Here is a 13,374-nt window from a genome sequence, read left to right on the forward strand (position 1 = left end):
CCAGGTTTTGTGATGATCCAAGGTCATGTTCCCACCTCTGGGCCACAGAGATCGGTCCCAGGCAGCTCCCAGTGACCCCAGCCTGTGCGGGTGTTTGGAAGTGGAGACGCTTTGGCTCTCTTTAAGAGTCAAAATGGGGAGGAGAGGCTCGGGCCATGCCAGCTAGAGACACACAGGGACAGAGAGGAGCTGAGATGCCGCTGTCTCCGCCACGCTGTGGGGAGGTCACTTCTCCTTCACTTGGGGCAGTCTTGGAGGCCTGGAGAGGGCTGGCAGCATTCCAGTAAAGGCCTCTGTGCTGTTAATTCTTCATTTGTGCCTCTTCCTCCTCTGGTAGGGCATGTGGAGGACACAGGCAGAATCCCTGTACGACCCACTCACTGGTAGTTCCGAGTTCCACCAAACGTCTCAGCTGCCCTACTCAGGCAGCGTGAGAATGGGGCCTTGGCGTGGGGGCTGAGACTCAAGAGTGCGGCCCCCAAGAGCACTGACGCCCCTGATGAGGGAGTCAAGTTGACCCATGGAGTGGCCTGGGCAATGCATGGGCATGCTCCCTGTCCCTGCCCTCACATATTCCCACTCACATAAGTCTCATGGTCCCTGTGTTTCTGTATTATACATTCTTTTTGGGGGGCTTCCTGCTTTCATCTATTTTAAAATTAAAATACCCTAGGGAGTAGTACATTGAATGAATGTACATGAATGTGGTCAAGCAACTTATGTGCCCAACTTTTCTTCTGGGGGTGGGGAGATTAGATGGCCTTTATAGGGAATGCCACACAAATGACCAGAGTGAGGGAGTAAGGGAGTAAGAAACGCCACGACAAATGTGTCCTGCTCCCCCTTTCCTTAGGCCTGGCCTTCACTGTCATTAACACATCAACTTACCTCACCGTAGTGGGTCCCCTACTACTAGACAAGCACTTTCTCATGCACCTCCTCATGTGACCTTCACCACAGCTCTGTGGGCTGGCAGGGAAGGTGCATAAACCCATTGTACAGATGAGGAAACAGAGACCTAAAGAAGCAATGTGAGTGCATGTGGTTCAGCAAGTAGCAAATAGGAGGGCCAGGACCAAAACCCACAGTGTCTGTCTCTTGGTATTGTGGCCCTTTCCTAATACAGCCCTGGGTCACGGGAAGTGACTTGGCTGATAGTGGTGTCAATACTGGGAGAGCCTTAAAGTACACTAGGATTTCACAGTGGCTTGGGGGTGGAGAGCTAGGGAGAGGAGAGGACAGGGATCTTTACAAAGTCAAGGGTGAACAAATACCCTTGGTGCCAGGAGAGTGGGCCGACTCCCAGGAGCAGCCAGGCCTCTGAGGCTTCAGAAGATTGTGGGAAAGCCTGGGTTACTGCATGGCCAATGGAAAAATTGGCGCTGGGAAAGTCTGGGTTCCCTGCAAGTCCTCTGATTCTCAGAGGAAGCAGGGTCAGAGAGCAGTGGGAGCAGCTTTCTCCTTGGTCACACACCCATCCTCAGCTCTCCATGGGTCCCAGGGCAAGGACTTCAGCAAGCCATGGGGAATAGGATGCAGGGTGGAGAGAATTCGATTTCAAGAGGGCTGCCAGGGGCCCACACTCAAGACCTGGACGGTGTGGGCCATTGGATGGTATTCACACTGCAGGAACCCCAGTGCAGAGAAAAGCTGCAGATTCAAAAATCCCCAGAGATTCTGCCAAAGACAAAATTCAGGATGAAGGGAGATGAAAAGTGTACTCTAGACCTCCACAATTGCAGACTCCTTTTATCTGCTGTGGAAAGGAAGTTCTCAAAGCTTGTTTAGCACCTGGGTGAACTCAACCTTTCTTCTTGTTCCCTGCCATCCAACAAGAAGGTGTGCAGCCAGCATCCCTTTGCTACATAAATCATTTAATTCATCATCCACTTATGTATTTATTCATCACCACTGTGCCTTGCCAACACTATGCTATGTTTGGGAACGAGCTAATTCTTGCCTACGGGAAGCTTTCCGTCCAGTGCGGGAGAGTCACACAATCACAATGTCATTATTTGGAAAATCTGGCAAATGCTAGGAGGGAAGAGGCCCATGGGGCTGCCTCTCTGAGAGAGCACTACAGCAGTGCATGTCACTCGAGTGTGCTTTAAACGCTATGCAAAGATGCACAGAGATGAATGAAACCGAGTTTTAGCCAAAAGGAAACCTAAGGATAAGTAAGCTGTGTACAACTAATATCTGGGAATCACCTGACCTTCAGCATTGTTTCACAGATAGAGTGCAGATAACATTCACAGAAACATCTCCTAACTTCTGGGCTTTTATTAATACTGTTAGCACAAATGCAGATAGATTTCTCCACAACCTCAGCAGCAGCCAAAGCTGGCTTCCCTTAGCCAGCACCTGTGACAGCAAGGCTGAACTCCTGAGAGAGTTCCTGGGTCTTTCGTAAGACAAAGCACAGGCAAATATCTATGGAGTGGCTCAGTCTCCCTGCTTTGAGCTCCTGGCAGGGAGAAATGTCATTTATGGTGTTTCAGAGTCCTGCTCATTTAGCTGAGTTCCAGACTCGAAATGAATCATCTTTTATTCCAAAATCATAATGCAGATACTAGAAGATTCAGAGGCGCCAGAAACAGCATCTATTGTCATAACTGTTGTTTCACCACTAAATTCATCTTCCCCGCAAAGCCTGAGCTGTGCCTCCACCCAGAAGTGCTTACCCAAATTACCCAAAGCTGCCAGAAGGGAAAGGAAATATTTTTGAAATGCAGTGGGTTCTCCAGTGTCTTCTCTGGTTTAAACCATCTGTGGTTTATCTCCAGGAAAGGGGCTACTCACCCAACCCCTCTCCACCTTGCCATCCCTAGACTCATGCAAGAGTTTAGATAGAGAAGGCATCCCACTGGCTGTCTAGTTGAACCCCCTTATTTTGTAGATGAAGGAACAATGCTCAGTGAAGAGACTTTGGCTGTGGTAAGGAGTGGAGCTGTGTCATGATCAAGGTCTGACTCTAGTTCATCTATTGCTCTCTCCATCCTCACATTATTAACCTCAACAAAGCTATTCCTCATTGCCCCGAGGAGGGTGGACCATGTCCTAAGTTCTTATGTGCCAGCATTAGACGTCGTGCTATCAAGAATTATCTTGTCCCTTTAAACGGTATCAATGGGGCTAGCTCCACCCTTGTCCCTAAATTAAAACTCGAGTAGACACCATGGATTCTTCCAGTCACTTTAAGTTAAAAAACCCAGTCCCAATTCAGTAATTTTTTTTTTTTTTTTGAGATGGAGTCTCGCCCTGTCGCCCAGGCTGGAGTGCAGTGGCACGATCTCGGCTCACTGCAACCTCTGCTTCCAGAGTTCAAGGGATTCTCCTGCCTCAGCCTCCTGAGTAGCTGGGATTACAGGCACCTGCCGCCATGCCCGGCTAATTTTTGTATTTTTAGTAGAGACGGGGTTTCGCCATGTTGTCCAGGCTGGTCTCCAACTCCTGACCTCGTGATCCGCCCACCTCAGCCTCCCAAAGTGCTGGGATTACAGGTGTAAGCCACCGCGCCTGGCCTCAATTCAGTAATTAAGATGTTCCATTCCCATGTAATAAAGCTCTGGACCCTCAAGTACGCTCTGCAGGAATCAGAAATCCTGCAGTCGAAGAGGGATGAATACTTCTCCTTTTTCTCTCCTGGTTGTGCTCATGTAGGTTCGGATCCTTCCGAGGTAGAAGTAGAGGGGACGGAGAAGCAGGATAGTTCTTCCATGACTGATCCTATTCAAGAGGTCTAGCTTTGACCCTCTCTGGATTCGACAGCTGTTTAAAGCTGCTGCTTCTTAGTCTTTATGGTGGCTTTTGTGGTTCCTTGGTTACCCCTTTCCCTGTGAAAGTCGTTGATGCCAAGGTGAAGTCACTTACATCAGGCCTAAGCAAAGTGGAGCCGAGGGGGTCATGAAGGAGGGGATCTCACACTCAAACAGCATGACAGTGCTGTTGTGGTTGGATAATATTTTGAAATATATAAAAGTTCTTTGGTTTTTTTTGTGTGTGTGACTATCTATTTAACCAGAGCCATCCATTTTATTAGGATAAATTAAAAATACACATAGAAAGGGTCTTTATTCAGTTTTTGGCTTTTAAAATAGGTTCTTGGCCCATTTCAGAAGCTTTATGAGAGGAGGAAAAAAGAAAAAACAAAGAATAATTTTCAAATTAAAGGGCAAAGCCCAGAAGAAATGAGAATGAAAGAGAAGAGGAGGGGATGTCCAGTTAAAGATAACAAAGCAAATGCATGCACTGGCTTCTACTCCCTCAAGTCCCGATAAAACACAGAGAAGGGGTTGTTTTTAAAAATCAGAAATCCACAAGAACAAAAAGAATCAGAAAGAAACCAATAGCAACACAATTTTGAAAGCAGAAAAGCTGAGGAATGAGTGGAAACGGAATTAGCAAAAATAATAAATCTGAATTCTAAGCTGGCAGTGGGGAAAGCCAAGAACCAACCCAACTTATACTACAGAGCCACCTCCCTCTCACCAAGGCTGGAAAATTAGCAGGCCAGGTGCTTCCTGAAGCACGGGGATAGATGGAGCCAAGGACAGGAAGACTACGTTTTCAAGAAGCAAACTCTTAGATTCTCTCCCCTACAAACTGCTCCTCCATTTTGTAGAAGACAGGAGGTTTATTCTTTGGGGAGGACAAAACTCAGGGTCCTTAAACTGCAGATATCAGATATTGCAGAAGATGGTGGTATCTCACAAAAAACTGGCAAAAAATAAAATTGTACATTATGTGTTGAGACCTTCCTCCTCCCCAACTCCCGCCTGGCCCCCTCCCCACCATAGGAGCCAACCTCCCAGATGACTCCTAGTGATTCTCCCCCTCTGGTATGCATACCCTTGGACCATCCCCACCCACACTGAGTAGGGCTGATCTGTGTGACCAATGGAATAATAAGAAAAATGCAGAGTATGACTTTTTTTTTTTTTTTTGAGATGGAGTCTCGCTCTGTTGCCCAGGCTGGAGTGCAGTGGCGCAATCTCGGCTCACTGCAAGCTCCACCTCCTGAGTTCACACCATTCTCCTGCCTCAGCCTCCCGAGTAGCTGGGACTACAGGTGCCCGCCACCACACCCAGCTAATTTTTTGTATTTTTAGTAGAGACAGGGTTTCACCATGTTAGCCAGGATGACAGAGTATGACTTCTAAGGCTAGATCATAAAAGACACTGTGGCTTCTGCCTTGCTCTCTCTTGAATCACTTGCTCTGGAGGAAGGCAGCTGCCATGTCACAAGGACACATAGGGAGCAAATGAAGCCTCCTGCCAATAACTAGCATCCCTTGCCACTTGCCAGGAATGTCAGTGAGCCACTTTGGAAGCAGAACCTCCAGACTGAGCCAGATGGTTGCAGCTGTTCCACACCTCACTGTAACCTCAGCTAGAACCACCCAGCTAACCTGTTCTTAGATTCCCAACTCACAGAAATTGTGAAATAATAAATGTTTATTTTTGTAAGCCACTAAGTTTTAGGGTAATTTGTTATGCAAAAATAGATAATAATCTCCCCCTACACACACACACACACACACACACACACACACACACACACACACACACACACACACACAAACAGAGACGCCCAGAGGCTTTCCAGCCTTCCTTCCTCACTCAGCTCCCAGAATGCTGGCAGCCAAACTTGTCCCTTCTAACAGGAGAATGGAAGCATCTTCCCCAGGGAATTTGACCAGCTCAGGAGAATAGGCCTAGAAGTGCTAATTCTGGGGACTCGCCCATGCACACAGAGCTTCTAATAACTGTTTTATCGCTCCTCTCTTAAATATGAGCAGATGTCCAAGGATCACGGGGCACTTTTGGAAAGCCTCTAATATGATATAGCCTAAAATTAACAGATAACTGTAGCTTGGAGGAAACAGAGAATATACAGGGAGAAAGAAGCTTCTAAAAGATTATAAATTATTATTAATATCCATAGAGAGATAAGAAAGATATTGCATCACTGAAACAAGAACAAAATGCTAGGAATATTCAGAAAACCAAAAAAAGAGTTATTGGACAATATGACAGCAGGAATGAAAAGTTCAAGAAGTGAGTTGGAAGATAAGGTTGAAGAACTCTCTAAGAAGATGAGCAAAAAGACAAACATAGATAGGGGAAGTTTAAGAAGAGAGAGAGAGAGAGGCTTAGACCAGGAGTTCCATCCTCCACACACTGAGATCAAAAAAGAAAGAAAAGGAAAAGAACATAGGGGAAGACATGCTCAAAAAAATCATCCAAGACTATGTCCCAGAACACAAGTTTGCAGATGGAAAGGGCTCATGAGTGCCCAGAAGAGTGGATGAAAACAGATCCAACCAGGACACATCACTATGGAATTTCAGAATACTGGGAGCAAAGAGAAGGCCTAAAATCTCCTACAGAGAAAAAGTGGAAGAGAGACAGAACAAGAGCAAGTAACAAAAATAAAAATAAAGTTATATAAAATAAGACAAGCAATAAAAATAGCTTCAGATTTCTCAATGACACCACTGGAGGGTGTTAGAACAATGGAGGACAAGGAAACATTAATGTCAAAATTCTGAGAGAAATGATTTTCAACTCCAAGTTTTATTCTTAGACGAATTATCAAGAATGAGGGTAGAATAAAGGCGTTTTTCAGGCACATGAGATCTCAATTCACACGAATGCCCCCTCTTCTGGGAAGCCCCACCAAAATGTGGGAGTTAAGCAAGACAGGGGTAGAGGTGGCATCAGGAAGCAGGAGATCCAATACAGTGGTCAGGGGAGGGGAGATCCCAGGGGACAGCTGTGGCCCAGGCCCAGGCAGAACCCCAGTCCAGAATGGAGCAGTCGGAAGTCATTAAAAAAGACAAGACGAAATTAATGGAACTCCTAAAGTAACTGAAGGTGTTAAAAGGAGAATGAACATTGCTGGAGGAGAGTTTGAGAGTGAATTAGTAGTAAGTATGGAGAAAACTCAGCAACTGAGAGAAAAACAACAGTTACATATTAATGTCAAACAAAGAGTTGTGCAGGAAAGGAAGAATAGTGTGGTCTACTACATACCCAGCTGTGAATGGCATTTATGTAGTTATGTAAAATATAAATAGCACCGAATAGTGATCCACCCAAGTTACAATACACAATATTGGAATGAGAGAGGGGATGGGAAATCTGCTCATTTTTTAGTTGTGGGAAGTCAGTATATAATGCCTAACACTAAAAATTTTTAAAGTAGTAAGATAAGCATATTACTTAAAGCAATGTTTCTTGAATTTCATCATACATCGGAATCAACCGGAGGGCTTGTTAAACCACCAGTTGTTCTGCCCCATCCTTCTGCTCCAGCCACACAGAACGTCTCTCACTTCCCTGCAGTGTCTAATTCCCTTGTGATGTTGGACTTTTGCATGTGTCACTACAGTAATTGGGATGTTCTTCCCTCAGCCTTCACCAGGATGAGCTCACATTCATCCTTCAAGTATCAGCCTAGATATGGCTGACTCTGAAGAGCCTTTCCTGACCTCGCGATCCTTCTAGGGTCCCTCTTCTACCTGTACTTCCCCTGGCCCAGCACTGGTCACCCATCTTCTAGCAGACTGTAAGGTGAAGAGAGCAGAGACTATGCAGGGAATACTCAAAGGCTTTGTGGCTGCCCAGCACCTTTGGAACACCCTTCTTGTGTTTGGGGAATTTTCCGTCTCATCTGTGAAAGTCAGAAATTTATTTCCCAGCCTCCCTTACAGCCAGAACTCAGACATGTGATCCAGGCTCCACCAATCACAGGCATCCATGCCAGACCTCAGTGAAGAGAAAGATGCCATATGAAAGTCATTGTGTGAGGGCAGGAAATCAAGCTTTTAGAAGAGCAGGAACAGAGGCCCTGGCAGAGGGGTCCCTGCCTGGGACAGTAGTGTGAGCCAGAGCCCACACCCTGCTGCAGGGGCAATAAGGGCTCTTTTGGAGCATTCCAGAACTATTTTCTGCATAATGTTCTTGGCTGTGTAGTCACTTACCCTCACTCTCTGGCTGTGGGGGAAATTTCCTGAGCTACTTAATATCCTTCGATAAATGCCATCTCTAATAAGCTAGCAAGAGTGGGTTTCTTTCTCTTTTTTTAACTAAGAACCAGGCCAAGATAGAGAGTAACTGTCTTGCTTTGAGTTTTATCCTCAGTGCCTAGCAAATCTTGGGCATGCAATAGATACTCAGTACATGTTTAATGATACAGATGAATGAAGGAAAGAATATTTGATGACCTCTGACTTCCCTGAGGGAAGGAGTGTGAGGCCACAGTAGGCGCTTCTCATCCTGCCCCTTCCCAATGAGGAACCACACATCTAGGTTTGTATCCAGGCCTTATAACCCCACACCCAAATGCAGGCAAAGGAAAGATGCCCCCTTGATCCATGGAGGATCCCGTTCTGAAGATCACGATCACCTCTTTAACACCAGGGAAGGGTGAGTCATACGGGTGAATTCTCCCTCTCACGGTTGCAGGTGGGTAGGAGCACACTTCAACACTTGTTTTCCTATTTTTATGCCCACTGCGAACTCCTCCAGCCAGAAGCGCTGGTTTTGCTCGTGTTTTATGGCTGCGCTGTCTGTGCCTGCCTCCCTCCTCCTCCACAATTTGAAATGAGCTCTTAAGTAATATAAAACAATGCTTCGTGACAGCCTGACTGGGGTTGGATTGCTAGGGGCGGTCACTGCACACTGAGCTGCACATTTGCAGAACTCAGAGCTGGTTGCTTAGCAACAAAATGAGATGCTGGATTAACTAGTTCTAGACCCACATTTCCCTAACCAATGCGGCTTTAACCCTTTGCTGCAGAGCAAAGACCCCAGCAAAGCCTTGAGAACAGAACAGTTGCTCATGTTGGTTGAGAGCTTACTCTGCTTTAAGCACTGTTCTAATGCTGTGCATCACATTATATCTCAGTTAATCCTCACAACAACCCAGTGAAGTGGTGCTAGTATTAGCTTTGGTTACAAATGAGAAACCTGAGGCATAGGGAGCCCAAGGTCACACAACCAGTAAAAGGTGGAATGGGGATTTGGACCCAGGCTGTTTGGCTCCAGAACTCATTTTTTTTTTCAACCAAGTTAAAATGCTTCATTCAACAGCCACTTTCATATGCCTTTCCCTTAAAGCAGCTAAAGTAGGAAGCTCACCAATGGACATACCTGCTTCTTTAGCAGCGTGCAAAGTGAAGGAGTTTAACACGCTACTTACACTGCAAATGCTCACATCCACAGATGACCTGGTTTTGATGCCAAGGCCTTTACCACACATGACACATGACCAAGAAGATATTCTGATGACAGTTCCTTGGAATTCTACCCACCTACCCCTCTCCAGACCCACTGGAGGGTCAACCAGACTCTGACTTGGCCCAGGGGTTATTTCTTCACCTGGTTTGGGGTGATGAGAGGTTGCAGCCGTGCAATGGGCACAGAACTGGGAAGAAAAGAACCTCCTTGCAGGCGCTGCTGATCAGGGCATGAGCGCAAGCCCACATACAGCCTCCTGGTCAGGCTCAGCTCCCACTTGCCTGTACAAAACCACCCAGACATACCTTACTGAAGGCCTCCAGGTATGAGACCTGTGGGAGACAGCTGTCTTTTCCTCCCTAGCCACAAAGATCAGTGCAAACCCCAACTCCAAAACCAAAGCCCTTTACTTCTCCCCTGCTCTTCCTCCCTTCTGGGTCTTCACCCAAGGCAATTCTCTCCTAGCTACTTTTCCCTCTCTGCCTCTGGTCTGCTAGGTTTCCTAGAGCGGATCTCTTTTTCTAAGTTGGAGCTTCACTGACCGGCTCCTTTTCATCCTCAGCCCTGTGCCCTCCCTCCAGTTTGTTCTTTGCAGCTCTCCTGGGGGTGTTCCCCCCAAAAAAAGGAACAAATGTCACTGGAGGGTAACCAGGAACCATTTATCAGTGCATTGGCCTCTTGGCTTCTGGAACATCTTCCACAAACTCCCCGGACTCCACCATGACCTCTTTCCAAATTATGTTCTCTTTTAATAGCTCCTGTTGGATTTTCCTTTGAAGTGTGGTCAACAGACCACTATATGGCCCCTGGTGGTCTGTCTATTAAAAGATCTTCAGGCAGGGAATTCAGGGTGTCATGAAATCATTTCATTAGCACATATTTCACCAGTTTGAAAAGAACCTTAACTGTGGGTACAGAAATCCTGTTAGGTTCTTAATAATCATTACCTATGCACAGATTCACACATCTACAAAGATTGTTCTGTGCCTTGGTTAATACTCAGTTAACTTCACATCATTTGCATTTAGGATATTATTCACTTTTGTTAAATTTGTACACTCTGATTTTATTATTATGTGGTCTTATATCCTCATGATTCTAAAATGGAATCACTGAAGGGAGATGATGTTTTTGGGAGCAATGGGTGGTGAGCAAGCAGGTAATAGAGGGTCTGGAAAATCAATTTTTGGTGTGTAAATTTGTAATTAGGTATTGGGAAACCATTAAAGGTCTTTGTTTGCTCACTTGTTTTTGCATGTGAACATGTATTTTGCTGTTTATAACCCCAACTATCTTATAGGAGGTGAGATTCCATTAAACAGACAATCCTTTGTTTGAAGAGTACTTTGTTGGGTTTGAGGTGCAAGCTGGAGAGCAGGATGGTGAGAGGTGGATTTCTCTGGAAATCTGGAAACTAGCAGGAAAAATCTGGGACCTCCAGTCAGCAATAACTCCAGAATTTCTACACTGCATGAAACTGAAGATTTGGTTAGAAGGGAGACCCAAAGCTAAAGCCCCTTCTTCCAGCCAAAACTTGACACTCACCAGTGTTCCTAGGAGTGGCCTGAGAGGCAAGGATTGAGAACCAGAGATAGAAAACAAGTAGCTTGGCAAGATGCACACAGCTCTGTCCAACCTGCACAATGTGACCCCCTCTGAAGGCCTCTTCCCATCCCAACTTATCATTTAAATGCTGTGTAACTAAACACTTCAGAAGATTAAATGTGATAACATAGGTAAAATGCCAAGCACACAGAAGTCCCTCAATAAATGTCTACTTCCTGCCTTTTCTCCCCATGTCATATGCTACATTACACTAGAAGACAGGGCAGAGGTTCTGCCTTGTCCATCTCTGTACCTTCAGCTCCTTGCACAGAGCCTGGCTTACGTAGGTGCTCAATGAATGTTTGTGTGCTTGAGAGAATGGGCCATAATTTACTAAGTGATTCTACTAAGCTATGTATTAATAATTGAACATTGTGCTTGTTTTAAAATTTGCTTCATTATAAATATCACTACAATGAATATATTTGTCCCAATTTTGGATTGTTTCTTTAGTTAAGGCTCAAGAAAGTAGAAACAGCAAACCAAGAGGTAAATTTCTCCAAATTATTTCCTGATGTGTCTAAATTGACAATTCTACCAGAGCTTTCAGCATTTTTCTTACCAATTTGTATGAAGTATTTAGACAATGAAGATATTAACTCCTGTCTTATTTGCTGCAAATTCTTTTCCCACTCTTGTTGTACTTGTTGTACTACTTAAGTACCGATGTATGATTTTATTTCAGTTATACTGTGGTCACTTTAAAATTTTAAGAAACTTAAAATTGTAATTTTTTTCTGGAAAATTTATACTTAGGCCTCTCCCATATATAAGTGGGATAAATAGTCATTGCTATTTTCTTTTGTTGTACCCCTCCTTGTATTAGTTTGTTTTCATGCTGCTATGAAGAAATACGTGAGACTGGATAATTTATAAATTGCGGTTCCGCGGGGCTGAAGAGTTCCACAGGGCTGAGAAGGCCTCAGGAAACTTACAATCATGGCAGAAGAGGGAGCAAGCATGTCCTTCACATGGCGGCAGGGAGAAGTGCCAAGCAAAGTGGGGGAAACGCCCCTTATAAAACCATCAGATCTCAGCTGGGCACGGTGGCTCACACCTGTAATCCCAGCACTTTGGGAGGCCGAGGCGGGAGGATCATGAGGTAAGGAGATAGAGACCACCCTGGCTAACATGGTGAAACCCTGTCTCTACTAAAAATACAAAAAATTAGCCAGGCGTCGTGGCAGGCACCTGTAGTCTCAGGTACTCAGGAGGCTGAGGCAGAAGAATCACTTGAACCCGAGAGGCGGAGGTTGCGGTGAGCCGAGATCATGCCACTGTGCTCCAGCCTGGGTGACAGAGCGAGACTCTGTCAAAAAACAAAACAAAACAAAACAAAAACTATCAGATCTCAAGAGAATTCACTCACCATCACAAGAACAGCATGGGGGGGAATGCCCCCATGATCTAATTACCTCCCATGAGGTCCCTCCCCCAGCACCTGGGGATTACAATTCAGATTACAATTCAAGATGAGATTTGGGTGGGAACACAGAGCCAGACCATATCACCTCTCCAATAGCTTATTTTTTAAGTAAGTAACTCTCGAATGTATTTGGAATTAAATTGGTATTTGATATATGGAGAAAGGTAAGGGCCAGAGAGATTTTTCTACACTGCTAATGAGGAATTTCCTTACAGCGTATTAAATGACTCTTCCCTTCACTATATGAAGGCTCTTTTGTTACATATTAAATTTATATGTAATATATTTGTATTTCTTGTTCCTATTTAATGTTTTGTTGCATGTGTTAGAATTTCCAAAAGGACATAATAAAAAGATGGTAACATTGGGCTTCATGGTTTTGCTCTCAGTTCTCATGACAGGTTGATTTGTATTTACACAGAGATTCTGGTAATTTAAGGCCCAGCAGAGCCTCCCTTAGGAGATACTGTGCACGAGAAAAGCCACAGCCCTGGGCCCCACAGATCACAAATAAACAGACAAAGATTTTTGAGCTTTGTAACCACTTTGGTCAATGGGAACGTAAGCAGAACTGGGCCTCTTGACAATGTATGTCTCCTTTTCCTCTAGGCTGAGAAACAGAGAAAGCCAGTCTGCAGGAGGAAAAAAAGAACAAAACACACTTGCAGAGATAGCGAGGTGAGAGCCCAGCACAGGGACTTCCTGTGCTCTTTACAGCATGCCAGTTTCTGGTCCCTGACCTCCTAAGCCCAGGTTCTTCTATGACATAATCCAGTACCCATATAAGACTTTCGCATTTTCTTATGTTAGCTCATGTTCCTTTTCTTGAAAGCGAAAAAGTCTTAAGTAACAGTAACTCAAGGGATTGGATGAGCTGTCTACTGCCACGACTCACCATCACTCACAGAAGTAATCCATCAAACTCAGGGCTGAGAACATTGCAGATGACTTTAAGGGGTTTCCTGTGTCATCCAAACCCATCTACAGAGAATGTAACAATTAAAAATTTGTACAATTCAGAGGAAGATTTGGAATAGGGGTTGAAGTTAAGATGAGTGGTCGCTATATAAAGGCAAATGAAAAACGTGTCCTTTACC

General features: G+C 45.0%; 1 protein-coding gene across 3 annotated transcripts in view; it reads right to left on the reverse strand.

The window, feature by feature from the left end:
- Nucleotides 1-13,374, reverse strand: part of TMEM272 (transmembrane protein 272) — a 121,020-nt gene that overhangs the window by 52,916 nt on the left and 54,730 nt on the right. The gene's annotated exons all lie outside the window — the stretch shown is intronic.

Source organism: Homo sapiens, chromosome 13, assembly GCF_000001405.40.
Source record: "Homo sapiens chromosome 13, GRCh38.p14 Primary Assembly".
Classification (NCBI taxonomy): Eukaryota; Metazoa; Chordata; class Mammalia; order Primates; family Hominidae; genus Homo; species Homo sapiens.